This window comes from Homo sapiens, chromosome 9 (assembly GCF_000001405.40).
Source record: "Homo sapiens chromosome 9, GRCh38.p14 Primary Assembly".
Taxonomy (NCBI): Eukaryota; Metazoa; Chordata; class Mammalia; order Primates; family Hominidae; genus Homo; species Homo sapiens.
The window spans coordinates 121,314,299-121,338,863 of NC_000009.12; the positions used below are offsets into that span (position 1 = coordinate 121,314,299).

General features: G+C 47.9%; 1 protein-coding gene across 49 annotated transcripts in view, besides 1 other annotated feature; it reads left to right on the forward strand.

The window, feature by feature from the left end:
- Positions 1-18,544, forward strand: part of GSN (gelsolin) — a 131,360-nt gene extending 112,816 nt beyond the window's left edge. For all 49 annotated transcript variants that reach the window (NM_001353054.1, NM_001353053.1, XM_047423273.1 and 46 more), the window contains 11 exons: positions 2,788-2,920; positions 4,108-4,196; positions 4,367-4,582; positions 6,970-7,103; positions 10,256-10,346; positions 12,214-12,384; positions 13,010-13,184; positions 14,593-14,717; positions 14,940-15,017; positions 17,090-17,150; positions 18,136-18,544. In NM_001353054.1, coding sequence (NP_001339983.1) covers positions 2,788-2,920; positions 4,108-4,196; positions 4,367-4,582; positions 6,970-7,103; positions 10,256-10,346; positions 12,214-12,384; positions 13,010-13,184; positions 14,593-14,717; positions 14,940-15,017; positions 17,090-17,150; positions 18,136-18,305 — 1,443 coding nt within the window. In that variant the 3' untranslated portion in view covers positions 18,306-18,544. The remainder of the gene's footprint in view (positions 1-2,787; positions 2,921-4,107; positions 4,197-4,366; positions 4,583-6,969; positions 7,104-10,255; positions 10,347-12,213; positions 12,385-13,009; positions 13,185-14,592; positions 14,718-14,939; positions 15,018-17,089; positions 17,151-18,135) is intronic.
- Positions 12,727-13,640: an enhancer, noted in NCBI's record as "H3K4me1 hESC enhancer chr9:124089303-124090216 (GRCh37/hg19 assembly coordinates)". NCBI's record gives its function as "activates a minimal SCP1, AML or CMV promoter by ChIP-STARR-seq in naive H9 embryonic stem cells {active_cell/tissue: H9 hESC(naive)}" and the evidence as "EXISTENCE:reporter gene assay evidence [ECO:0000049][PMID:30033119]".

Genomic DNA, 24,565 nt, shown 5'->3' on the forward strand with positions numbered 1-24,565 from the left:
ATGGTCGACTTTGTAGGATTTCTGGGAGTCCACAGATAAAATGGATGTGAAAACAGCTTAGAAAATACTTGGGGAAATACTACAGAAATGGTGTGTATGTGGGGAGGTTGGGGGTGTGGGTTATAGTTAATGACTTTATTTATGATTTCTTTCTTGTGATTTTCACAACTGAATTCAGGCTTAGCTTCAGCTAGGGAACTCTCTTGGCTGAGCTCTGGGAGAAAGCTCAATCACACTTACGTTGTGCCCCAAGTATTTTCAGTAAAACAACAAAAAGGGGATGTCGATTTTCACCACTGCCAAAGAAAAACTACTACATTATCGATTTTTTTTCTGATTATGAAGTAATACATGTTTATTGTAAGAAAAAAAAGTATTCAAAATATAAAAAGAAAATAAAAGTCCATGCAATTTCACTGGTTTAAAAAACCAGTATTACTTTTAAAATATGTTTTAATTACAAAAATGACAATACCCAGTTAAAAAATCAGCCTCTCCTCCTCATGAGAGAACACATCTTTGTCCAGCCACAGCTTTCTGTGCCTAGTTACTTTTCCATTTCCATCTTATTATTTTATTTTGAGATAGGGTCTTGCTCTGTCACCCAGGCTGCAGTACAATGGCACAATCACAGCTCACTGCAACCTCTGCCTACCGGGCTCAAGCGATCTCTTGCCTCAGCCTCCTAAGTGGCTGGGACTACAGATGTACGCCACCACGCCCAGCTAACTTTTGTATTTTTTGTAGAGACGAGGTTTTGCCATGTTGCCCAGGCTGGTCTCAAACTCCTGGGCTCATGTGATCTGCCCACCTCAGCCTCCCAAAGTGCTGGGATTACAGACCTGAGCCAACGCTCCCGGCCATTTCTATTTTGTGTAACTGGATCCAAACTATTCATGCTGTTGTGTGGTCTTTTTTCCACTCAACATGGTCGGGAATATCTTTCTATAATAAATCTCAACACGACCCTTTATAACAGCTGTATAGTATTTTATTTTATGAATGTAAGAATTTAAGCAAATCCTGATTGATGGACATTAGGATGTTCCACCTTTTCCAGTTGCAGACAGTCCCTCTTGGTGCACTTGTGCTAAGTACAGCATAGCACTAGGGCAAGTTCCTAGACAAGGAACTGCTGGTCACAGGCCGAAGAATGAGTCAGTAGTTGAAAATACTGGTTCTGGGCCAGGCATGGTGGCTCACCCCTGTAATCCCAGCACTTTGAGAGGCCGAGGTAGGCGGATCACCTGAGGTCAGGAGTTCGAGACCAGCCTGGCTAACATGGTGAAACACTGTCTCTACTAAAAATACAAAATATTAGCCAGGCGTGGTGGCGGGTGCCTCTAATCCTAGCTCTCCTCCTAAGGGAGGAGAATCACTTGAACCCGGGAGGCGGAGGTTGCAGTGAGCTGAGATAGTGCCATTGCACTCCAGCCTGGGCGACAACAGTGAGACTCCGTCTCAAAAATAATAATAATAAATAAAATAAAAAAAGAAAATACTGGTTTTGGAGTCAGGAGTCAGACTACCTGTGTTTGAATTCCAGGTCAGCTATTTCTAGCTGTGCAAGTTCCTTAACCACTCTGTGCCTTGGTTTCCTTGTGAATGAGACAGGGATAGTAACAGAACTATCATATGCAAGGATTAAAGGGGTTCTATAATTATACAAGTTATAGAAATTGCTTAGAACAGTGACTGGCACAGAGTAGTAAGTACTCAATTCATGTAGAATAATTATTATTTAAAGGACTGCTACCTCACAGTCAACTGTACTCTGGAACAGCTCCCAAATTACTGTCATCAGGGATCTTAAATGCCTGTTTACCCAGAGCCTTGCCAACTGGATATTGTTAAACTTTTGAATTTTGACTCTTAAGATAGAACTTTTTTTTGAGCTTGGTTGAACTTTTTATTTTAGAATAATTTTTAAGTTTACAGAAAAATTGTAAAGATAGTACAAAGAGTTCCTATATACCATTCACTCAGCTTCTCCTTAGCATCTTAGCATAACCAGGTACATTTGTCAAAACTAAGAAATTAACATTGCTTCAGTACCATTAACTAAACTATAGACTTTAGCCAGATTTCCCCAGTTTTTTATTCTAGGTTCCAATCCAGGATACCAGATTGCATTTAGCTCTTTTTACTTTTCTTTTTCTTTTCTTCTCTTTTATTTACTTATTTATTTTTGAGACAGAGTCTGGCTCTGTTACCCAGGCTGGAGTGTAGTGACGCAATCATAGCTCACTATAGCCCCGACATCCTGGGCTCAAGTGATCCTCCCACTTCAGCCTCCCAAGTAGCTGGGGCCACAAGCAAGCGCCACCACACCTTGCTACTTTTTGTATTTTTTGTAGAGATGGGATCTTGCCATGTTGCCCAGGCTGGTCTTGAACTCCTGGGCTCAAGCCATCCACCCACCTGGGCCTCCCAGAGCGCTGGGATTAAAGGTGTGCGACACTGTAACCGGCCTCTTCTCTTTTTTTTGAATAGTAAAGTTGAATACATTTTCAGCAAACTATGCAGTTCCCCTCTGCACCCAATTCCCCAAATTTTATCCCGCCCTCCCTTCCCATGTGCAGTTTGTGTTACCCCTGCGTGTAGGTCAGCAGATGTGGTTCTGACAAAGCAGAAAACGAAAAAGAACCTCTAAATGTGTGCGAGAGGAAGCCCAGGTGTTACTCTACAGGGCCATTTGGGACAGGGGGTGGGGCAAGATGGTGGAAGTCTCAGGGCTGGGCGGCCACAGACACTCATGTGCTGGTTCCTTCTGCTTCGTCCCCTCAGGTCTCCAATGGTGCAGGGACCATGTCCGTCTCCCTCGTGGCTGATGAGAACCCCTTCGCCCAGGGGGCCCTGAAGTCAGAGGACTGCTTCATCCTGGACCACGGCAAAGATGGGAAAATCTTTGTCTGGAAAGGTACTGGAGACAGGGAAAGGGTCCCAACTGGCCTGTAGGATCTTGGATGGGATGTTCTGCAGCTCCCAGGAACTCAGCTCCCGGGGAGTGTGGAGTGTGCCTGGTGCAATGGAAATCAGAAGTCTTGGGCTGAGGCCTTGGTTTTGCATTTGACATACTGTGTGATCTTGGGCACTTTACTTACCCTTTCTGGGCCTCAGATTCCTGATCTGGGCTAAAATGGGTGTTTCCCAAGTGCATTATAACGTCAGTTCTCTGAGAGGCTAATTGGCATCCTGTAGAAATTATGTAGAAAACATCTAACTGTATGGTCAGATAAATTCATGGGCAACAGTGGATTTTAAAATGTTCGAGTTTGTTTACTGTAGGACTTTTAACTTGTTCATTTACAGGGGGGCTTTTCATGAAGATGATCTGGTTTGGGAAATGCTAAGCTAGAAGTTCATAAACTCTTTCGGTACTATCTTGTGGGAATTCTCTTGGAAACCATTGGCCCAGATGTTTCCCAGAGGCCCTGAGATGTTCTGAGAGGACCCATCAATATCCTCCCCTGATTCTCTAAGGCTCATCTTGGGGAAGAGGACAGAGGAGAGGGAGGCAGTAGGAGGACAGAGAGAAAGGGAGACGGTGGGGAGAAAGAGAGAGAGAGAGACACTATTATGATTATTACTCTCTAGGCCCCCTGGGCCCTGGGCCAGCTGATCTGGACCTTGGCCTTGGCAGTGAGAAGGCTGGGACTGAGGCCCAGCACTGGCTGGCCAGGAGCTCCTTGGCACGGGAATGCCCTCAGGGTGGCAGCTTCTCACTCACTGAGTAACCTAGGTCAAGTAATTTAATCTCTCTAAGACCCTAGCTTCCTTATAGATACTCAGAAAAAGATAACAACTTTTTTTATTACTTAAGACTATTCTGTGAATTAAATAATCTATGCATAGTTCTAAGCACAAAATACATGCTCACTAAATGGACCACAGTAGTGTTGTGATTGGTGTCACTGGCCAGCCCCAGGCTGGACACCAGGAGCTCTAGTGAGTGGTCGGCTCTGGGGGTCTCTGGCCTTGGCTGTCCACAGTCTAAGAAGAGTAGGGAGGGAAGTTTGGCAGCTCCTTCTCCTGGACTGTTAAAGGTCAGGATGCAGCAGGATCCCGGGCCTCTAACCCTCCATCACTTCCTCTGGCTGCCAACAGGCAAGCAGGCAAACACGGAGGAGAGGAAGGCTGCCCTCAAAACAGCCTCTGACTTCATCACCAAGATGGACTACCCCAAGCAGACTCAGGTGAGTCTTGGAGGCCAGGTAGGATGGGAAGGGGTGGGTCCTGTTTGGAGGGGATGGGCTGGAGTAGGGCGGGTGTCCCACCCTCAGTGTGGATGGGGTATCTGAGGCTCCCCTGGGGACCCCTGCTGGGCAGCCCAGCCACATCCTGCTCCTCTGCCTCCCCTCCCCAGGTCTCGGTCCTTCCTGAGGGCGGTGAGACCCCACTGTTCAAGCAGTTCTTCAAGAACTGGCGGGACCCAGACCAGACAGATGGCCTGGGCTTGTCCTACCTTTCCAGCCATATCGCCAACGTGGAGCGGGTGCCCTTCGACGCCGCCACCCTGCACACCTCCACTGCCATGGCCGCCCAGCACGGCATGGATGACGATGGCACAGGCCAGAAACAGGTACGTTTAGGGCGTGGGGTGGGTGTGTCCAGGCCCCTCCCTCACTTTCCCCATGCACTGCCTCTTGCTTCCCCAAGGAGGTTTCTCTCTGAGGTTTGCACAACTTTGGTAGCTGAGATTCTTTGGTGTTACTTAGTTTTTACAGCCAATGCACCCTGTGTATCAGGCCCTGAGCCAAGTGTCTTGGCCCCACCTTGCCCCGAGGAGTGCCTGGTCTGGGAGGGGAGTTGACCATAGCCACAGACCTGTGTGATCAGTGGAAGATGGGAGGGAGCACAGGGGATTGTGCAGACACAGGAAGCAGTGGGGGTGGTTGGTCAGGGCAGCCTGCACAGAGATGGGAACCTTTGGGTTGGGTCTCAGAGGAGGAGTAGAGCTTTGCTGCCGGAGAGGAAGAGCGGAGAGTGATGGGCATTCCAGGAGGGACTCGCTATGTTCGGAAAGGAGGGAGCTATCCCAGGGGGCTAGTGCTGATGGCATCCCCAGGGAGGGGCCTTGAATGCCAATTTCAAGGGTGTAGACTTGATCCTCTAACCAGTGGGTGCTAGTGAGGGGTTTTTCTTTTTATTAAATCAGACATGCAACAGGCTCAGATTTATGCTTTATCTTTTTTTTTTTTTTTAATAGAGACAGGGTCTCGCTATGTTGCCCGGGCTAATTTCAAACTCCTGGGCTCAAGCAATCCTCCTGCCTCGGCCCCCCAAAGTGTTGGAATTACAGGCATGAGCCACTGCGCCCGGCCACCTGCTTTAGAAACTCACTGTGAAAATGGGTTGGAATATGACTCCAGGATATCATTAGAAGAAAAAAATCAGTTAAAAAATAAATAAAAGAAAAATAAAAAGAAAACTAAGAAAATGGATTGGAGGCAGGAAAATGAAGGTAGAGAGCTTATAAGGAGCTTGTTCTAATACTGTAGGGGAAAGATGATGACCTTGAGACTAAGAAGGTCACAGTGGAGAAGGGGAAGAGGGGTGTGGGGTTCAGAGGTGTTTAGGAGGTAGAATCCGCCTCAGGCAAACTTGACTCCGTTCCTAATGATAGGAATAACAAAGTGTTCATTTTTATATATTATTGTTTTTGGTTTGGTGCTAGCATTCATTTGTTGCTTCAGTGGCTAGGGAGAATGCAATGAAAATATTTCGGGTGGGGCGGTGTGGTAAGACCCCTGGCAGCCTGACTGTGAGACTTTGGGCAAGTTACATAACCTCTTTGAGCTTCACTTTCTCACTTGTAAAGTGGGGTTTCATCCCACTCCATCACCTTCAAGAATGTTCAAAATCCAGAGATTCTAGGATTCTGTTTCCCAGGACTTGGACGACTCCGTGTCTCCATAGCTCCACCAGGTGGCGCTGCCGGGCCTCGTGACCACTTGGAAAAAGCAGTGTCACCAGAACGCTGCGGAGACCTGCCAGCAGGGGTCACACTGAGGTTGCCTCGTGGTGTCCCTGCCTCTGCAGGTGACCTATGAAATTCCTGGCAGGCCCAGCACAGTGGCTCACGCCTGTAATCCCAGCACTTTGGGTGGCCGAGGCGGGTGGATCACCTGAGGTCAGGAGTTCGAGACCAGCCTGGCCAACATGGTGAAACCCCGTCTCTACTAAAAATACAAAACTTAGCTGGCCATGGTGGCAGGCACCTGTAATCCCAGCTACTCGGGAGGCTGAGACAGAAAAATTGATTGAACCCGGGAGGCAGATGTTGCAGTGAGCCGAGATTGCGTCATTGCATTCTAGCCTGGGCAACAAGAGTGAAACCTCGTCTCAAAAAACAAAAAAAAAAAAAAGAAAAAAAGAAAGAATCCAGGCAGCTCAGTAACAATAGAGGTAATGGTGATATTAGTAAGATAATAATAATAATTATGACAATAAGAGCAGCTGCCACCTACAGAGCAGTCCCTTTGTGCCGGGCCCTGTGCTAGACTTTCACGAGTAATCTCGTTTGAGCCTCACAGTACTTTGAGGTAGGTACTATGATTATCCCCATTTTTCAGATGGGAAAACTGAGGCTAAGAGTGGTTAAGCCAGTTGTCTGAGGTCTCATGGCCCGGAAGGGGATGAGGGGCCTGATTTGGGGTCTGTGTCTGGCTCCTCCCCTCACTGTACTGCATTCCTTTGGAGCTGCCTTGACGATCCTCAGCGAAGGACAGACGGGCTGGGGCAGGGCATGGTATGAGGAGCCCAGGCAGGAACCCTGACCCAGAGTCCCAGCCCTGCCTTCTAGTGGCTCTGTGAGTTGGGCAAACCATTTAACTCCAGTCCGAGCCCAAGTGATTAAAAGTTCATCCCATGGCCTAACCACAACCTACCACACTGCGGTTTCCTGGCTTGCCTGAGCTGGGGGGTGGGGGTGCTGCACAGCATCTGACTCCAGCTTTGCTCCTGCAGATCTGGAGAATCGAAGGTTCCAACAAGGTGCCCGTGGACCCTGCCACATATGGACAGTTCTATGGAGGCGACAGCTACATCATTCTGTACAACTACCGCCATGGTGGCCGCCAGGGGCAGATAATCTATAACTGGTGAGGTTCTGGGGCCATTGGTGTGTGTCGTGGGGGTACTGGCTGGGCCCTGAGCAGGGCTGAAGACAAACTGAGGGTGTGAGGGCCTGAGGTGGGACCACCACTCCCTGCTGGGAGAGGCTTTTGTCCACAGGGCAACACCATTTGCTTATTTCTCCAAACAACTTTGAAACTCTTCTTACCAAATGATTATACATCTATTGTAGGATATAGTGAATGTGGAGAAACAAACAGAACATCTCCCACAAATCCATGACAAGTACTAGGCACACTAGGGTTTATCCTCCCACACATATTTTTCAAGCCAAAATTTTTTTAAATTTATATTTGTTTATTTATTTATTTATTTATTTATTTTGAGACAGAGTTTTTCTCTTGTTGCCTAGGCTGGAGTGCAGTGGTGCGGTCTCGCTCACTGCAACCTCTGCCTCCCAAGTTCAAGCAATTCTCCTGCCTCAGCCTCTCTAGTAGCTGGGATTACAGGCACCCACCACCATGCCTGGCTAATTTTTTGTATTTTTAGTAAAGACGGGGTTTCACTATGTTGACCAGGCTGGTCTCGAACTCCTGACCTCAGATGATCCATCTGCCTCAGCCTCCCAAAGTGCTGGGGTTACAGGAGTGAGCCACCACACCCAGCCCCAAAATTATTTTAAAACAGAGAATACATTTACATGGTTCAAAAATCAAAACAGAATATAAAGGTATTTATTGAGAAATCTTATTCCCACCCCTGTCCCTCTCTACCCCATTCTCCAGACCCCACCCCTTCTTGGGTAACTGCTTTACTCTCTTGCATATCCTTCCAGTAACTCTTCGTGAAAAAAAATACATATGCAAATAATTTATAGCCTGGTCCCTCCCTTCCTTACACAAAAGGTAGCATACTTTGTATATTGCCCTGCACCTTGCTTTTCTGACTCCATTCTTCCTAGAGATCAATAATGTCAGTACATAGAGACAGAGAGCTTTCTCATTCTTTTTTACAGTTGCATAATAGTCCTTTGGGTGGCTGTACTATAGTTTATTTAACAAATTCCTTGATGATGCATACTTGGGTTGATTCCAGTCTTTCTCTATTACAAACATTGCTGTGATTAGTAACCTTAAACAAACATCACTTTGAACATGCAGAGACATGCCTCTAGAGTAAGTTCCCAGAAGTCAGATTGCTGGGTCAAAGAGTAACTGCACTTGTCATTTTGGTAGATAGCCCCCAATTTCCCTCGATAGTGTTCGTAGCATTTTACATTCCCACCAAGCAACCTGTGAGAGTCCCTGGTTCCCTATAGTCACACTCGTGGATTGTGTGGTCAAACTTTTGGGCGTTTGCCAATCTTATGGTTTATAAAATGGTGTCTCAGTGTATTTTTAACTTGTATTTCTCTTACTATACAGTCTAAAACTTTTTGTCTGATTATTGACTGTTGGATTTTTTTTTTTTTTTGAGACAGGGTCTTGCTCTGTTGGCCAGGCTGTAGTGCAGTGGTACGATCTCTGCTCACCACAACCTCTGCCCCCCGGGGCTCAAGCAATTATCGTGCCTCAGCCTCCTGAGTAGCTGGGACTACTTGCCACTACTCACCACCACACCCGGCTACTTTTTATACTTTAGTATGGATGGGGCTTTGCCATGTTGCCCAGGCTGGTCTCGAACTCCTCTAAGCGATCTGCCTGCCCCAGCCTCCCAAAGTGTTGGGATTATAGGCATGAGCCACCACGCCAAGCTGGATTCCTTCTTTTTTTAAACTTATTTTGAAATAATATTAGACACTTGCTGAAAAGTTGCAAAAATAGTACAGACAGTTCTCATATATCCATTACCCAATGGAATATTCACCTATGTTCACATCTTACATAACCCTTACATAACCATAGCACAATTAACAAAGCCAGGAAGTGAACATTGACACAATACTACTTACTAATCTATAGGCTTTACCTAAATTTCCTCAGTTTTCCCATTACCGTTTTTTTTTTTTTTTTTTAGACAGAGTCTTGCTCTGTCGCCAGGCTGGAGTGCAGTGGCATGATCTCGGCTCACTGCAACCTCTGCCTCCCAGGTTCAAGCAATTCTCCTGCCTCAGCCTCCTGAGTATCTGGGACTACAGGTGTGCGCCAACACACCCAACTAATTTTTGTATTTTTAGTAGAGACGGAGTTTCACCATGTTGGGCAGGCTGGTTTCGAACTCCTGACCTCAACTGATCTGCCTGCCTTGGCCTCCCAAAGTGCTGGGATGACAGGCATGAGCCATCGTGCCCGGCCCCCACTACTGTTCTTTTCCTGATCTAGGATCTAACCCAGGATCCCACATGGCATTTACTCATCATGTCTCCAAAGTCTCTGAATCTATGGCAGTTGCCCGGTCTTTCCTTTTTTTCATGCCCTTAACACTTTTAAAGGGTACTAGTCAGTTATTTTGTAGAATGTCTCTCAATTTGACAACCCCAGACATTTAAAAACAGCTTAATTTTTTTTTTGACTAGATAACACATTCACCTGGTACAAAATGTGTGAGAAGACTGTTTTAAAAATTAGCTGCATCAGCGCATTAATAGGTCAGATTTTGTTTGCTTATACGACGACATATGTTGGTTATGGAAAACTTAGACAATATGCAAAGAGGTGGGATAGAAAGGCAAAATCCCCCTAAATCTTCCCTCTAAGAGCAATCACCATGGACCTTTTTGGTGAACATCTGTGCAGACCTCTCTGCACGTGTTCATGGGAGGCTTAATCACTGACATCTTTTCCCACAAATAGGCTCTCGTAACACTTGCTATTCTGCGACCTGCTTTTCCGCCCAGAGAAATGTCCTGGCCACTTTTCTGCATCTCAGATTTGAGTCTCAGAGCATCTTCTCTGTGGCTGTTCAGCATGGGATGACCCAGCCAGTCTCCTGTGGGACACATTTAGCATAAGGAAATCCATGCGTTGCACTAAGATCTCTGTAAGCGGGCAAGATGCTAGGCTGAGAGTGGAAGTGTTGGTGTGGTTCCTGGCTCTCGTTGTTCTGAAAGAGTCCCCTTCCCTCTCTATCTGTTTCATTACTGGTAACAGGGAGATGTGTAGGTTTCTCAGACTCAGGGCAAGGGAGAGGCTCAGGGCTCTGTGTGCACCCTGATGCTGAATCTCACTTCCCCTTCCAGGCAGGGTGCCCAGTCTACCCAGGATGAGGTCGCTGCATCTGCCATCCTGACTGCTCAGCTGGATGAGGAGCTGGGAGGTACCCCTGTCCAGGTGAGCCCAGCCCACCGCCTCTCTGGGCTGCAGCCTGAGCCTTGTCCTTCTCTTCACTCATCTGTCTGACTCTCATCCATCCATTCGTTTGTCCATCTGTCTGTCTGTCCATCCATCCATCCATCCATCCATCCATCCATCCATCCATCCATGGAACAGGTATTTATTTAGGGCTTCCATGTGTTCCACACTGCATCTGTAGCCATGGACACACAGACACACTGTCCCTGCCCTAGTGGACTTTGCTGTCTTGGGTGGTAGTAGACATTCAACACACAGGCACACCAATGGCTATGACAGATGCAGTGAGTGAAATTGACAAGACCTTGGGAGAGAGACATGGGAGAGGCCATGTGGCTGAGCACGGATGTGGAACCAGCATGCTTGGGTTTGAATCCTGTCCTCACCTCTGGGCAACGTTGGGCAAGTCACTTAGCCTCTCTGTGCCTCTGTGTCCTCAAAATAGGGGTAATAACAGTACCATCCCACAAGATTGCTGTGAGGATTAAGAGTTAACATTTGTAAGCATTTAGAATCATGCCTGCCATATAAGAAGTGCCCCCTTATACATATGTGTTAAGTACAAGGAGGTAAATCCTAGGTAGGATCCTATTGGATTAGAAAAGCCCACCCCTGTCCCAGGAGGGGACTGTTCAACTGGGACCTGATGCACGTGTAGGAGTTGCCCAGGCAGAGTGAAGGAAAGCACATTGTGGGTAAAGGGTGGTACACATGCAAAGGCCCTGAGGTGGGAGGGGGCATTGGGTGTTAAAGCAAGGGGAAAATGCCATGATTTGAGGCTAGAGAGGTGCTCAGAGGGGCCAGACCACCAGAGGCCATAGTGACGATGTTGACCTTGATGCTGAGAACAACAGGAAGTTGCTGAATGATAAGTCTGAGGTGTAGGGATTTCTGGTTTAAAAAGTCACTCTGGCCAGGCGCTGGAGGGCAGCAGAGCTGGTTTGTGGAAATATAGGGGAAGCGGACAACAACTGTGCTTCCTCCGTCCTACGGTGGGAGTGGGCAGGGCTCTAGATTGGCATCGGGGGTTCGTGCCCTGACCTTTGACTATGATAGACTGGGTGCTGGGCACTAAATGAGATGATGACCATCTTAGCTCAGTGCATCCTGACAACAGCCTTGGGAGTAGCATCCTTGGCTGCATTTTTCAGAGGAGGAACTCAAGAGGTTGAGACACGTGCCCAAGTTCTCACCATCAGGGTGGAGTTGGGGTCTAAGCCCTAACTCAGCGGTGGTGGGTCGTGGTGGGAAGCGACTGCCATATGCCTGACGTACATGTGAGGTTTTCTTCTGGACATAGTTAGCCGGGGCCACGGTAAGGTGCCGCACACAGGGCAGGAGCAGATGTGAGGGTGTACATCTTCCCTGCCTCACTCCCACCACCAAGCCCCTGACTGCTGCCCGCATCTGGGGTGCACTGGCTCTGCAGGAGGGGGTTTTCTGGATCTAGAATGCTCTGTTCTTACCACTCCACCAGCAGTCATGCCCAGGCCTGACGTCAGCATTCTGGAAGAATGTCCACCAGCAATCCCTGTGCTTCTATTTAAGGGAACATTTGCAAACACAGGCTCTCCTGGTTCTTGGACCAGGCTGAGGATCAGGAAGGCATGTCGTCATGGAGATGGAGAGCAGCCCAGCAGCAGTGCCCTGGGGACCTCAGACAATAGCACTGTCTCCACCCTTCCTGGAATTCTGGTGTCCCTGCCTGTGTGTTGTCGGGTCACATTCCATGCCACACACAGACACAAGCATGATGGCTTCGTCTGGAGGGATGGGCCCAGTGCGACATAGAAGGACTGAAGCCTGCCCCCAAGGTCCCTGACTTGCTCTCCTGTCTCCCTGCCAGAGCCGTGTGGTCCAAGGCAAGGAGCCCGCCCACCTCATGAGCCTGTTTGGTGGGAAGCCCATGATCATCTACAAGGGCGGCACCTCCCGCGAGGGCGGGCAGACAGCCCCTGCCAGCACCCGCCTCTTCCAGGTCCGCGCCAACAGCGCTGGAGCCACCCGGGCTGTTGAGGTAATTTCCAGGTCCTGGAACACAGAAGGGATTGGCCTCCCTGAAACCTCCCAGCTCAATGACCAGATCTCCAGGCACAGGAACGGGGGCAGGGGATGGTGAATGACGGGGTAAGAAGCAGCTTTTTGTATTTTCCTGCCGTGGCCACAGGGTTGTCTGTCTTAGACTCCCCCCTGTTTCAAGGATACCCAGTGTCCCTTGCACACTTTGCACAGTGGACAGCTCACTACCTACCATTCTGTACAATCAGCATGCCATTCCTGATTACGTTCCAGTTGCCTACTATCCCTTTCACGGAGGAAGGCACAGATCTGGACTTGATTCCCAGGATGGTCTGAGCAGCCTAGAGGGGAATGGGACTCTCACCTCCTTTGTTCTGGGCATTCAACTTCTGTTAATGCAGCCCTGATTTTTAGAATCATGTTGGCTAGTCACAGTGCATTAGTGACTCATGGGAGTCAACCAAGGCCATCAGGGTCCAAAGTCTGTGCCCTCAGCTCTGATGGGCTGTGTTCCTCCAAGTCCCCACCTGAGAGCTAGTCCTGCTGCGGGGTCTCCTGGGCTGTGAGGAGGGGGCTGAGGGCTTTTTGTCTGGTTCCTGATTAACCAAGCTGTACCCTCCCAGGTATTGCCTAAGGCTGGTGCACTGAACTCCAACGATGCCTTTGTTCTGAAAACCCCCTCAGCCGCCTACCTGTGGGTGGGTACAGGAGCCAGCGAGGCAGAGAAGACGGGGGCCCAGGAGCTGCTCAGGGTGCTGCGGGCCCAACCTGTGCAGGTGGCAGAAGGCAGCGAGCCAGGTAGGAGCCGGGGTGGGGGGCCTGCTGCTGTCCGGATGCAGCTATTAAGTTTCCCCCTTCTTTCCTTCAGCTTGGGGGCTCTAAATCCTCCCCTCCATCCCACCTGAGGGCCTGTCCCCTAATGTATGTTAAATAAAAGCAGTTGCATTAAAATGAGGGCTGTGGCCAGAGAGAGGGAGGTCTCCAGGAGCTAAAGAAAGGAGAGCCTAGCCTGGGCGTGGTGGTTCATGCCTGTAATCCCAGCACTTTGGGAGGCTAAGGCGGGCGGATCACCTGAGGTCGGGAGTTCAAGACTAGCCTGACCAACATGGAGAAACCCCATCTCTACTAAAATACAAAATTAGCCGGGCATGGTGGCACATGCCTGTATAATCCCAGCTACTCGGGAGGCTGAGGCAGGAGAATCACTTCAACCCGAGAGTTGGAGGTTGCGGTGAGCTGAGATCACGCTATTGCACTCCAGCCTGGGCAACAGGAGTAAAACTCTGTCTCAAAAAGAAGAAAGAAAGAAAGAAAGGAGAGCCCAGTGTGGGAAGGAGCAGTTGGTCTGTGGAAGGAGGCGGTCCCTCGCTAGGAAGCCTTGAAAGGTGGTAGGCAGGGCTGATAGCGTCAGAGGAGCAGTGGTCTCCTTGCATCTCTAGACTCTCCATGGACAGAAATGCCACCAGCCTGCTCTGTTTCCAGAATGTGGGCCGGGCAGCTCTTCCTTCTGCCAGCCTGCAGTCTTTATACTGTTACTTTGAGTTCATTCCCACCTGCTTGATGCTTAACAGAAATGGTGAAGAGTGACTTGGTCTAAAGCAGCTCTGTCCAGCAGAACCTTCTATGCAGATGGACATGTTCTGTATCTGCCGAGTCCAATTTGACAGCCATTAGTCACATGTGGCTGTTGAGCACTTGAAATGCGACCAGTGGGAATTAGTGGGAATGAAGAACTGAACTTTTAGTCGAATTTAATTTTAATGAATTTAAATTTAAATGGCTGCACATGGACAGAGCAGGTATAGTGGAAAGAGTATAGGTGTTAGAATCAGACAAGATTTGTATCCTGGTCTTAACACTTACCATCTGTGTGACCTTGAGTGAGTTGCTTAACCTCTCCGAGCCACAACTGCCTCATTAGCTGAGTGGAGCTAATGGTCCTCATCCCGCAATGCTGTCGTCAGCCTCAAGCCAATAGTGGTCCTGGCTGTGTGACTACTGCCAAGTCTGCCCTCTCTGGGCCTCTATTTCGTCACCTTCCAATTCCCTCAGGCCTCTTCCCTCTGGATCTCCTGGGATTTTTAGGATGGAGGGAGGAGAGGGAGAGCAGTTGGTTGCGCTTGGGCAGGGCTGGTCCCAGGGTCCGATGAGATGGGAGAGAGGGGTGATGGCGTCCCTTGGCAACTGGCGTGGCCTCCCCTCACAGATGGCTTCTGGGAGGCCCTGGGCGGGAAGGCTGCCTACCGCACATCCCCACGGCTGAAGGACAAGAAGATGGATGCCCATCCTCCTCGCCTCTTTGCCTGCTCCAACAAGATTGGACGTTTTGTGGTGAGCCCCTGCGGAGGTCACACCTCTGCTTTCCCCTCGGGAGGCGAGTTCCACAGGACTGGCCGGCAGCAGGGGCAGGAGAAACAGTTCTGATGGTGTGGCACAGAGGAAGGGGCCCCCTGCCAGCTGCAGCCAGCTGTGCCACTCCCTCAGGGGGCAGATAAAGGAAGGCCACCCAGGGGAGGGAAGACATCTCACTGATGCTCTTTCGTTCCTTCCCAGATCGAAGAGGTTCCTGGTGAGCTCATGCAGGAAGACCTGGCAACGGATGACGTCATGCTTCTGGACACCTGGGACCAGGTGGGTGAAGGACAGGTGAAGGCTCTCTGTGCCAGAGGGAGTGGGAGAAACTAGACTTCCAGTTCTATGATCAGTTGCTAGAAGGACCTAAAGGGGGCAGTGCCAGGTGTTGCCAGAAAAGTCTCTAAGGGTACTGGAAGTCACTTCTTCTTTCTGAGCTTCCATTTCCTCATCTGTAAACTGGGAGTGGCGGTACCTCCCTTGCAGATACACTCACCTTGAAAGCTGCAAAACGCCCTATAAAGGCAAATCACATGACCTTCATCATTCTCTCCCAGACCTTGCAGGAGCGTGAACTCTTCCTTTAAATCTGTTGGCAGAGGAAGTTGAACTTAGCAGCATCTTGTTTGCAGGCATAAACTGTCCAGTGTCACCTAGAGGCTCTAGAGGGCTCCTGCTTCTGGTTTGAGGGCTCTGGGCTCTGTCTCCACTTCATCTCCTAGAGAAGGCCATTATGTAGGACTTGGCAGGGGAAGATGCCATTCACTTACTCAACCAATATTAATTGGGCACTGCTTTGTGCCAGGTGCTTTATGTTTGAGATGCTGGGATAGAGCAATGAATAAAGTAGGCATTTTCCTGCTCTCCCAGGGCTTACGTTCTCACAGGGGTGTCAGGTCAGTCACCTTTCCTATCAAGGTGGCTTCTCCCAGAGTCCTCAGAGTTACGGAGCAGCTGGCCACGAAGGCATAAGACTCTACACTACCCACAGGGATGCTCGGAATCCCCAGTTGGAAGATCGGGACCAAAAATGATTGCAGCTTGAGCCATTCAGCAGTTGTCATTGATTGATCCATTGGCTACTTAATCTGTTTGTTCATCTGTTAGGGATTCAGTCAGCCAACATTTATTCAGCACCATGGTCTTGCAGGCAAAATGCTGAGTGCTGAGAATCCTATGATGAGCAAAATAGAATGCCTGCCTTCGAGGGGCTTCCACTTTAGTTGGGAACACATTTATAAATAAGTAAGAGAGGGCCAGACATGTTGGCTCACACTTGTAAACCCAGCACTTTGAGAGGCTGAGGTGGGCAGATCACTTGAGGTCAGGAGTTCAAGACCAGCCTGGCCAACATGGTGAAACCCCATCTCTACTAAAAATACAAAACAATTAGCCAGGCTTGGTGGTGGGTGCTTATAATCCCACCTACTTGGGAGGTCGAGGCAGAAGAATCACTTGAACCCAGGAGGCGGAGGTTGCAGTGAGCTGAGATCATGCCACTGCACTCCAGCCTGGGTGACAGAGTGAGACTCCGTCTCAAAAAAAAGTGAGAAAAATGAAGTCTGACATTTTATTGTCTAATGCCATTTTATCAATGATAGGTGCTCTTTGAAGTAATATTTTAGATATGCATAAAAATAGATGATACATAAAAATCAGCTAAATAATGTGTAATAGAACTTGTAACAAGACTCAAAATGGTGATAGTGGTGGGTGAGTTATTTTTATTCCAAGCCTTAGGCCCATTTTGACAAAGATGCACACAGACCGGCACATAGTAGACTCTCGGTGCATATTTGTTGGATAAATAAATGGGTGAGAATATGTTTGGCCACTCATTTGTTGAACGAGTGAATGCTGTTCAAGAGATAACTCATGGACCTTTAGAGAAGAATCTCAAACTCAATGCCTGATGGTACCTGGTTGGCAATGTTAGCGAATGAAGCAGGCTGGGCTGGGGAGACGTGAAGGAGCAGTGGAGTCTGAGGCAAACTAGAACTGCTCATCTCAAAGGGGCAGCTCCTGCGCAGCTTGACTCAAGTGAGGTTTGAAGGCCCAGGCTGCTAGATCCTCCAATTTTTAAAGAGAAGTTGGAAATCTAGATTTTTATGTCATAACGGTTTAAAAAGACATTGTTGGCTAACACAAGGTGGTGGGTGAGCAAACAAAACATGTTTGTAGGTTGCCAGTTTTCAACCTCTGTTCCAAATCCTTCCAGTCTTAGTTCATGGGCTCTGTTAGAAAGGGGAGGGCTTTGTCTGGTCTGATACCTGGCCCCTCCCCAGTCTTCCTCCAGCCGTGAATTTGATCAGCACTCCTCATGTACCTTTCCTGTTGCATCTCACCTCCAGGTCTTTGTCTGGGTTGGAAAGGATTCTCAAGAAGAAGAAAAGACAGAAGCCTTGACTTCTGGTGAGGACCCGAGTGCCTGGGGGCGGGGGGAGGGGTCCGTTGCTTGTGGGGTGCTGGGAGTGGCTCCTGTACAGGTCTGGGAATGAGCATCTTTCCAGGGGACTGATGGACAAGATAGGGTGGGGACTTCCTCCTCTGTGGGCCAGCCCCTCATAAATCCTGCCTGGGATAGTGAAGAACACATCAGTTCCTTCAGAAACCCTGAGGCTTCTCAAAGAAGGCTCTCCTCTGTTCCAGGAGAAGGAAGGGACAGATGAGAAGTCACTTCAAGTTCCCAGAATACTCAGAAGCTGAACTTGTCAAGGTTTAGATGTGGCAAAGCAGGCCAGGCATGGTGACTCATGCATGTAATCCCAGCATTTTGGGAGGCCAAGGCAGGAGGATCACTTGAGCCCAGGAGTTTGAAAGCAGCCCGGGCAACATAGTGAAACCTCATCTCTAGAAAAAATACAAAAAAATTAGCCAGGCGTGTTGGTGTACACCCGTGGTCCCAGCTACTCAGGAGGTTGAGGTCAGAGGATTGCTTGAGCCCAGGAGTTCACGGCTGCTGTGAGCCATGATCGCACCACTATACTGTAGCCTGGGTGACAGAATGAGATGGTGTCTCAAAATGAAAAAAAAAAAGAAAAAGATGTTGCAAAGCAGATTCTTGGCAGCTGAATAGATCTGATTTGTGAGCTGGGAACCCAAAAGTTGGTTCCCATATCTTCCAGTAGGGGACTGCAAGGGAAAGTAATAAGCTTTATGAAGCAGGAGATTAAGCCGTAGCCCTGTTCCTTCCTGTGTTCCTGAGCAGGGTGGTGGAGAGCCCACGTGGGTATCATGCCTTTAAAGGAGGATGGTGCCCAGGGCAGGGGGTGGGCAGTAGGGACAGTAGGACCATAGACCCTCTTCTTTGTCAACTCCTGTCCTGAGTCACCCTCTCCCTGGTGTGGGAGGCACTAAGAATTCCTGGGGTTTCCTTTTCTTGCACGTGTGTCTGCAGCTAAGCGGTACATCGAGACGGACCCAGCCAATCGGGATCGGCGGACGCCCATCACCGTGGTGAAGCAAGGCTTTGAGCCTCCCTCCTTTGTGGGCTGGTTCCTTGGCTGGGATGATGATTACTGGTCTGTGGACCCCTTGGACAGGGCCATGGCTGAGCTGGCTGCCTGAGGAGGGGCAGGGCCCACCCATGTCACCGGTCAGTGCCTTTTGGAACTGTCCTTCCCTCAAAGAGGCCTTAGAGCGAGCAGAGCAGCTCTGCTATGAGTGTGTGTGTGTGTGTGTGTTGTTTCTTTTTTTTTTTTTTACAGTATCCAAAAATAGCCCTGCAAAAATTCAGAGTCCTTGCAAAATTGTCTAAAATGTCAGTGTTTGGGAAATTAAATCCAATAAAAACATTTTGAAGTGTGTACTCTAGTGTGGCTCGTTTCCTTGTGCCCATCTGACAGTGAGAGCCGGCGTCTTCTCTGCCTGTGTCCCTGGTAATTCTGAGAATGGCCAGAGAGGTGCCTAGCATTTGCCTGTAAACTAGTAGAAAGGCTACATCCACCCTGTGCGTGAATCCTGGTGCCCTGAGAGGCGATGCCACAGTGAGTTGAGAGGTGTGTAGATTGTCCTGGGGGATACCTATGCTAAAGGAAATAAGGAGGGGCCGGGTACGGTGGCTCACACATGTAATCCCGACACTTTGGGAGACCGAGGCAGGCAGATCACCTGAGATCAGGAGTTCGAGACCAGCCTGGCCAACATGGTGAAAGCCTGCCTCTACTAAAAATAAAAAATTAGCCAGGCGTGGTGGCACATGCCTGTAATCCCACCTACTCGGGAGGCTGAGACAGGAGAATCTCTTGAACCCAGGAGGCGGATGTTGCAGTGAGCTGAGATTGCACCATTGCACTCCAGCCTGGGTGACAGAGCGAGATTCTGTCTCAAAAGAAAGGAAATAGGTGGGGAACCAAGGAAGACTGGGAGAGCCATCAGACCCTCGACGCAAGTCTGACCCTAGGTGGAGAAAAAAGGGAGAGAAGGTTGTGCGGAAGTGTCTTAGTGGTCATTTATTTAATCCAGGAAGATTTGGCAAAGCTTGTCGGCAGTCCCAAAGCCAAATTCAGTGTTCTTTTTAAATTTAATGGTATAGTCCCATTTTTGTTGTTTTTTATTGTGGCAAACTGTACGTAACACAGTATTTATTTTAACCACTTGTATGTATTTCAGTAACATTGCATATACAGTGTTATGTAGCCATCACCACTCTCTGTACCCAAAACTTTTTGATAATCCCCAATATAAATGCTCTGCCCATTAAATACCAATTCCCCATTCTTCCCTATTCGCCAGCCCCTGGTAACCTGTATTTTACTTTCAGTCTCAGAATTTGACTATTCCAGGGACCTCATATAAGTGGAATCATACAACATTTGTCCTCTGTGTGTGGCTTATTTCACTTAGCAGAATGTTTTCAAGACTCATCTGTGTTGTAGCATATATCAACTTTTCACTCCTTTTTGTGGCTGAGTAATATTCTACTGCATGTCTATACCACATCTGGTTTATTCAGCCATCAATGGACTCTTTGTTATTTGTGCCTTTTGGCTATTGTGCATAAGGCTGCTATGAACATGAGCATCTGTTCAATTCAAAGTGTTCTTGAGCCAGAGTCAAAGTCAGCCAGCAAAGGAATTGTGTGTCTCTTGTAAGCAGGCGTGCCTTATCTGCCCCCTGCACTCAGTCTTTGGGAGGCCTGGCCTTGGGACACATGTGGGATGAAGTTCAAAGCCAGCAGTCGGAGCCCTTATCAATTATATGCCCTGCAGTAGAAAGCGGGCAGGGTGCATCCTCATAGCTGCCACATCCTGTAGCAGCTGCTTGGACCTTCCCTGCTGCCTCTGTTTCCCACAGATTCATTCTGCTGCCCCAAAGCTATGTGGAGAAATAACTGCAGCAGCTGCCAGCACAAGAGCTGCCCCCGGATGCTCTCAAAGTTTGCGGTCTTCAGGGTATGGGAAAGGGACTCTTCTGTGCCTTCTTGGTCCCCTGGGTCCTGACTCTCCACTCATGCTCAGCATGTCACACAGTCCCTCTTGGATATTTCTATGTTGTTTCATAATCTTTTCTCCTGGGAGACTAAACCAGTCCAAGAAACCTGCTGGAGGACATTCCCCAGTCCTCCCGCTCTGTCCTTTTGGTCTCTTCTCACCTTGTTTTCCCCCCGTCTTGTTCTGTGTCACCTCCCACCACCACTCCATCCCCATTGAGTTATGATGTGAAAGCTCGCAAGCATATGACTGTAAAAGAACAGAAACCAGCATGAGGGCTTAAATGATGGGCAGGCTGTGTGTTTGTGTGTGTGTGTGTGTGTGTGTGTGTGTGTGTGTGTGTGTGTGTGTTTACACTGTTGTCTCCAAAGCTGGCTGATCACCCAAATTGCCCAGGGAACTTTTTAAAAGCATGGATTCCCCAAGGGCCATTCCTCCAGAGATTCTGATTCATCGCAGAAGTGTCGAGGGTAGTGGAGAAGAAATTTTCTGGATGAAACGTGGAGGGAAGATGAAGTCACTTTCAGGCAGAGGGTGCAGCTAGTACAGGCAGGGGGCTGTGAGGGGAACAGCGTGCTCAGGGACAGACAGCAGCCTGGAGTGGCAGGCCTCTGAGCTGAGAAGCAGGCTGGGGCTTTGAATGCCATACCAAGGGTTTGGACTTGATCCCATAACGCTTGCCTTGCCTACCCCCAAAGGTTTGCTTTCATGGTCAAAGCAATCAACTTGACAAAGTCCTGGTACAGAAGTGGCATTTACCACCCAAAGCTTCTAGGGCTTTCACGAGAGGCAGGTAGAGGCCTGTCTAGACAGAGCTAGCTTACTTCCTAGAAATTAGTGGGAGGTAAAATTTCAGGTAGACCTGCCCATTAATTCTTCATTTCAGTTTATACCAGCATTCAAGGGTATGGCTGTGGCCTCAAAAGAGAGTTGTGCAATGCTCTGAGAAAGAAAATAGCCTGGGGCCACTGAGATGCTGCCTTCTTATTTTTCTCTCAAAGGCAGAAAAGCCAATCAGGAGCACTATCACTTCAACCGCACATTTTATCTTTCTAAAGTTGCAGACGTCATCGTCTCCTACAATGGAAAAATCATCGTGAAATAATGAGACAGATGCCAGAGGGACAACGCTAGGCTTGGATCTTGTGTCCAATCTTGGGCAATTCAGTTGAACAGATATTTTGTACTTACTTTGTGCAAGGCATTATAGATATAATACTTAAACTTTTGGAGCCTCAAGTTACCCACCTGCAAAATGGTAATGTTGTATTAATACCTAGCTGGAGGTGGTATAATACAGTGGCTAATAGCTGGCTTTTGGAGTCAGACCTCAGTTCAAATCTAGCTCTACCACTCATTAGCAGTGTGATCTTAAGTTCTTTGCCATTTCCTTAGCTGAAAAATGAGAATAAGAACAGTGTCACCCCACTTAGAATTCTCATGAGGATTAAGGGAGGTAATGCTTAGCACAATGTCTGGCCTATAGTAAGTGCTCGAAAATGGTTAAAAATAATGAAAGCACCTAGGCCACAGCAGAACCTAGTATTCAACCACGGAGGCAAAGGCCCAATGTACTGTGGATCAGAAAGGATGTTTTTGGCTGTAAGCAGTGGAGGGCTAACTCAAACCAAATTAAACTGTAAGCACACTTATGTGCTCTCATACATAATCAGTTCAGAGTTGAGGGGGACTTCATGGTTGACTAAACGTAGTGGGCCTGAGTTTCCTGCTCATTCTCTTGGCCCTTGCTAGTCTGGTAGTAAAATATCTGTAGGTGTTCTGGTTGCTCCACACCCATGAACAGCAATGCCCAGAGGAAAAGAGGACTGTTTCTAGAAAAGTTTTCAGAAAAGGGAGGAGGAACTGCTCCCAAGACCACGGAAAACCTTTCCTCAGGTCTCAAGAATCCATATTGGGTCACATAATCATTCCTGATGGAATCATGGGCTAGAAGGATGGAATTATTCATAGGCCAGTTAGGTTCATCCTAGCAGGTGGGGGTGAATTCTTCTCCTGAGGTCAGAGCGCTCAGGGGGAGGTATCTGAACAAAGTCATGGCTCCTAGGAAGGAGGGAGGAGATAAATGGATGCTGGGTAGACCGCCATTTTGTTGGAGACTTCTGGGGGCCAGATGCGGAAAATTAAAAGTAATGGCTCCTTACAGTTCTGTGGCATCCAGTAATTAATTTTCAGACTGTTCAATTTCCAGTCATTTTCCCCCGGAATCTTTTAGGGAAGATTTGCAGCCTGCATTATGATTACTATGTTTCTAGAGTTTATTGTAAAACCACAGTTTTAACAGCGGCTTCAATTTCCTTTCTCACTAAACTCTTCTGGCTACAGGGTAGATTGAAAGGGGCTGTATCCTATTAGCCAGTGTGACTGGTTTAGGCAAATCCTAGCTTGATCTGAGCCTGGGTCTGCTGTAGACCTGATGTTAACAACATCACAGGAAGAGATCATCACTAATATCCCCGGAGATTTTCCTGTGGCCTGGTCAACACAGCCAAATGAGATTATGCATGGACATGAAAAAAGCTGTGTAAAGTGTCTTGCACAGTGCTGGCATTCAACCGTGGTTCCTTTTGCCTTCTTCTTGGTTCCTATAAAGTAAAAACTCTTCAGGTAACTGCATAGCTGTGTAGTTGGATCTTAGACATGATCTAGCCCAGGATTTCTTAAGTCTTTGGATAGGTTTGGGAGTGGGGCCAGTGTACCCCCAAAGCATCCAAATTTGTGTTGTGCACACTATGTGCAGTTTTCAGACGAAGCTCTGTAGCTTCCAACACATTCTCAAAAGGTCTGAGACCCAAACAGCTGGACTATAATCTCCCTGTTTTACAGGTGAGGAAAATGAGGCTGAGAGAACATATGACTTATCCAAGGTCACATTATAAAGTGGATGCTATAGCAAGGAAAGCACTCCAGAGCAGTGATTTTCAAACAGAAATATGTAGAATTCTATGAGGTGCTTCTGTGATTTTGTAAATATTAGATTCAAATTCCATGTTTAAAGTGGTAATAAAAACAGACAAGCAAAATGGAGAAATCGAATGTAGACTCTGAATATAAGATTGGAACTCTTTCGTAACTCTAATATTGTTTTTCAAAACAGCCTCATTGTTCTCATTGAGTTACTTTATATTCAGTAAATGTTATAAATGTGAACTCAAGAATTTATCCTGGCAAAAGACACCGTAAACCTTTTACTGATGCAGTTACCTTTGAAAAAAGGGGTTTGCTGCTGAAAGTAAGAGGAAGAGGCACTTGATTCACTATTTACTAGCCAAGTAACTGTGAGAGCAGGTTTGTGAGTATCACAAGAAATGATATATTTTAAAATGCTACATAAGCTGAGAGTCTATGGAACACTGGTTTCCTCCTGCTCAGGACAGTGTGTTATGACATTTGTGGTTACAAATGCCCAATCGGGCCGGGTGCAGTGGCTCACACATGTAATCCCAGCACTTTGGGAGGCCGAGGTGGGCAGATCACCTGAGGTCAGGAGTTCGAGACCAGCCTGGCCAACATGGTGAAACCCCATCTCTACTAAAAATAAAAATACAAAAATTAGCCGGGCGTGGTGGCATGCGCCTGTAGTCCCAGCTACTCAGGAGGCTGAGGCAGGAGAATCGCTTGAACCCAGGAGGCAGAGGTTGCAGTGAGCCAAGATCACGCCATTACACTCCAGCCTGGATGACAAGAGCGAGACTCCATCTCAAAGAAAAAAAAAAAACAAACAAATGCCCAATTGACTCTCCTCTTTTTATAGTGAACTTTGGCTGAATTGGATGGCCCAAAACAAAAGTTTAAGTTTAGGGCCCAGTTAGGTGTGAATGTAAAGACAAATGAACTTTGATAGTCTTGGGAAAAGTTGTGATCTATCTACAAAATGGTGGTGGTGGTGTGTGGATGGGGGCACTAGAGGCAGGCAGTGTCACACGAAGATACACTGATACACCTCACAAATCTTTGGCATTAGACAGATCTGGGTTTGAATCCCAGCTCTGTTTCTTTCCGACCATGTGACTTTGGCTGTTTTAACCTTTGAGCCTTCAGTGTCCTCATCTACAAAATGGTGATAATAAAGTGTCTATCAAACCATTTTGAGATAAAATGATAGAATGTACATACACGTATTTGTGCACAGAGCTGAGTGACTGGTGCTCCCAAATGGTAGCCACTAATTCAAGACAGTTCTGTCAGATGTTGCAGGTAAAACACATTGGTTTTTTATCATTATTTGTTTCTTTTTAAGTAAAGGCTATGTCTATGTGATTAACTGGGTGACAGCAAGAAGTGGGTTCCTGTCCTGTTTGGAGGAAGGCAAAAGAAAATGAAGTCAGTTAAAGCTTTGTGGTGGTGGTGGAGGGTGTGTGTGGATCTTGAAACTCC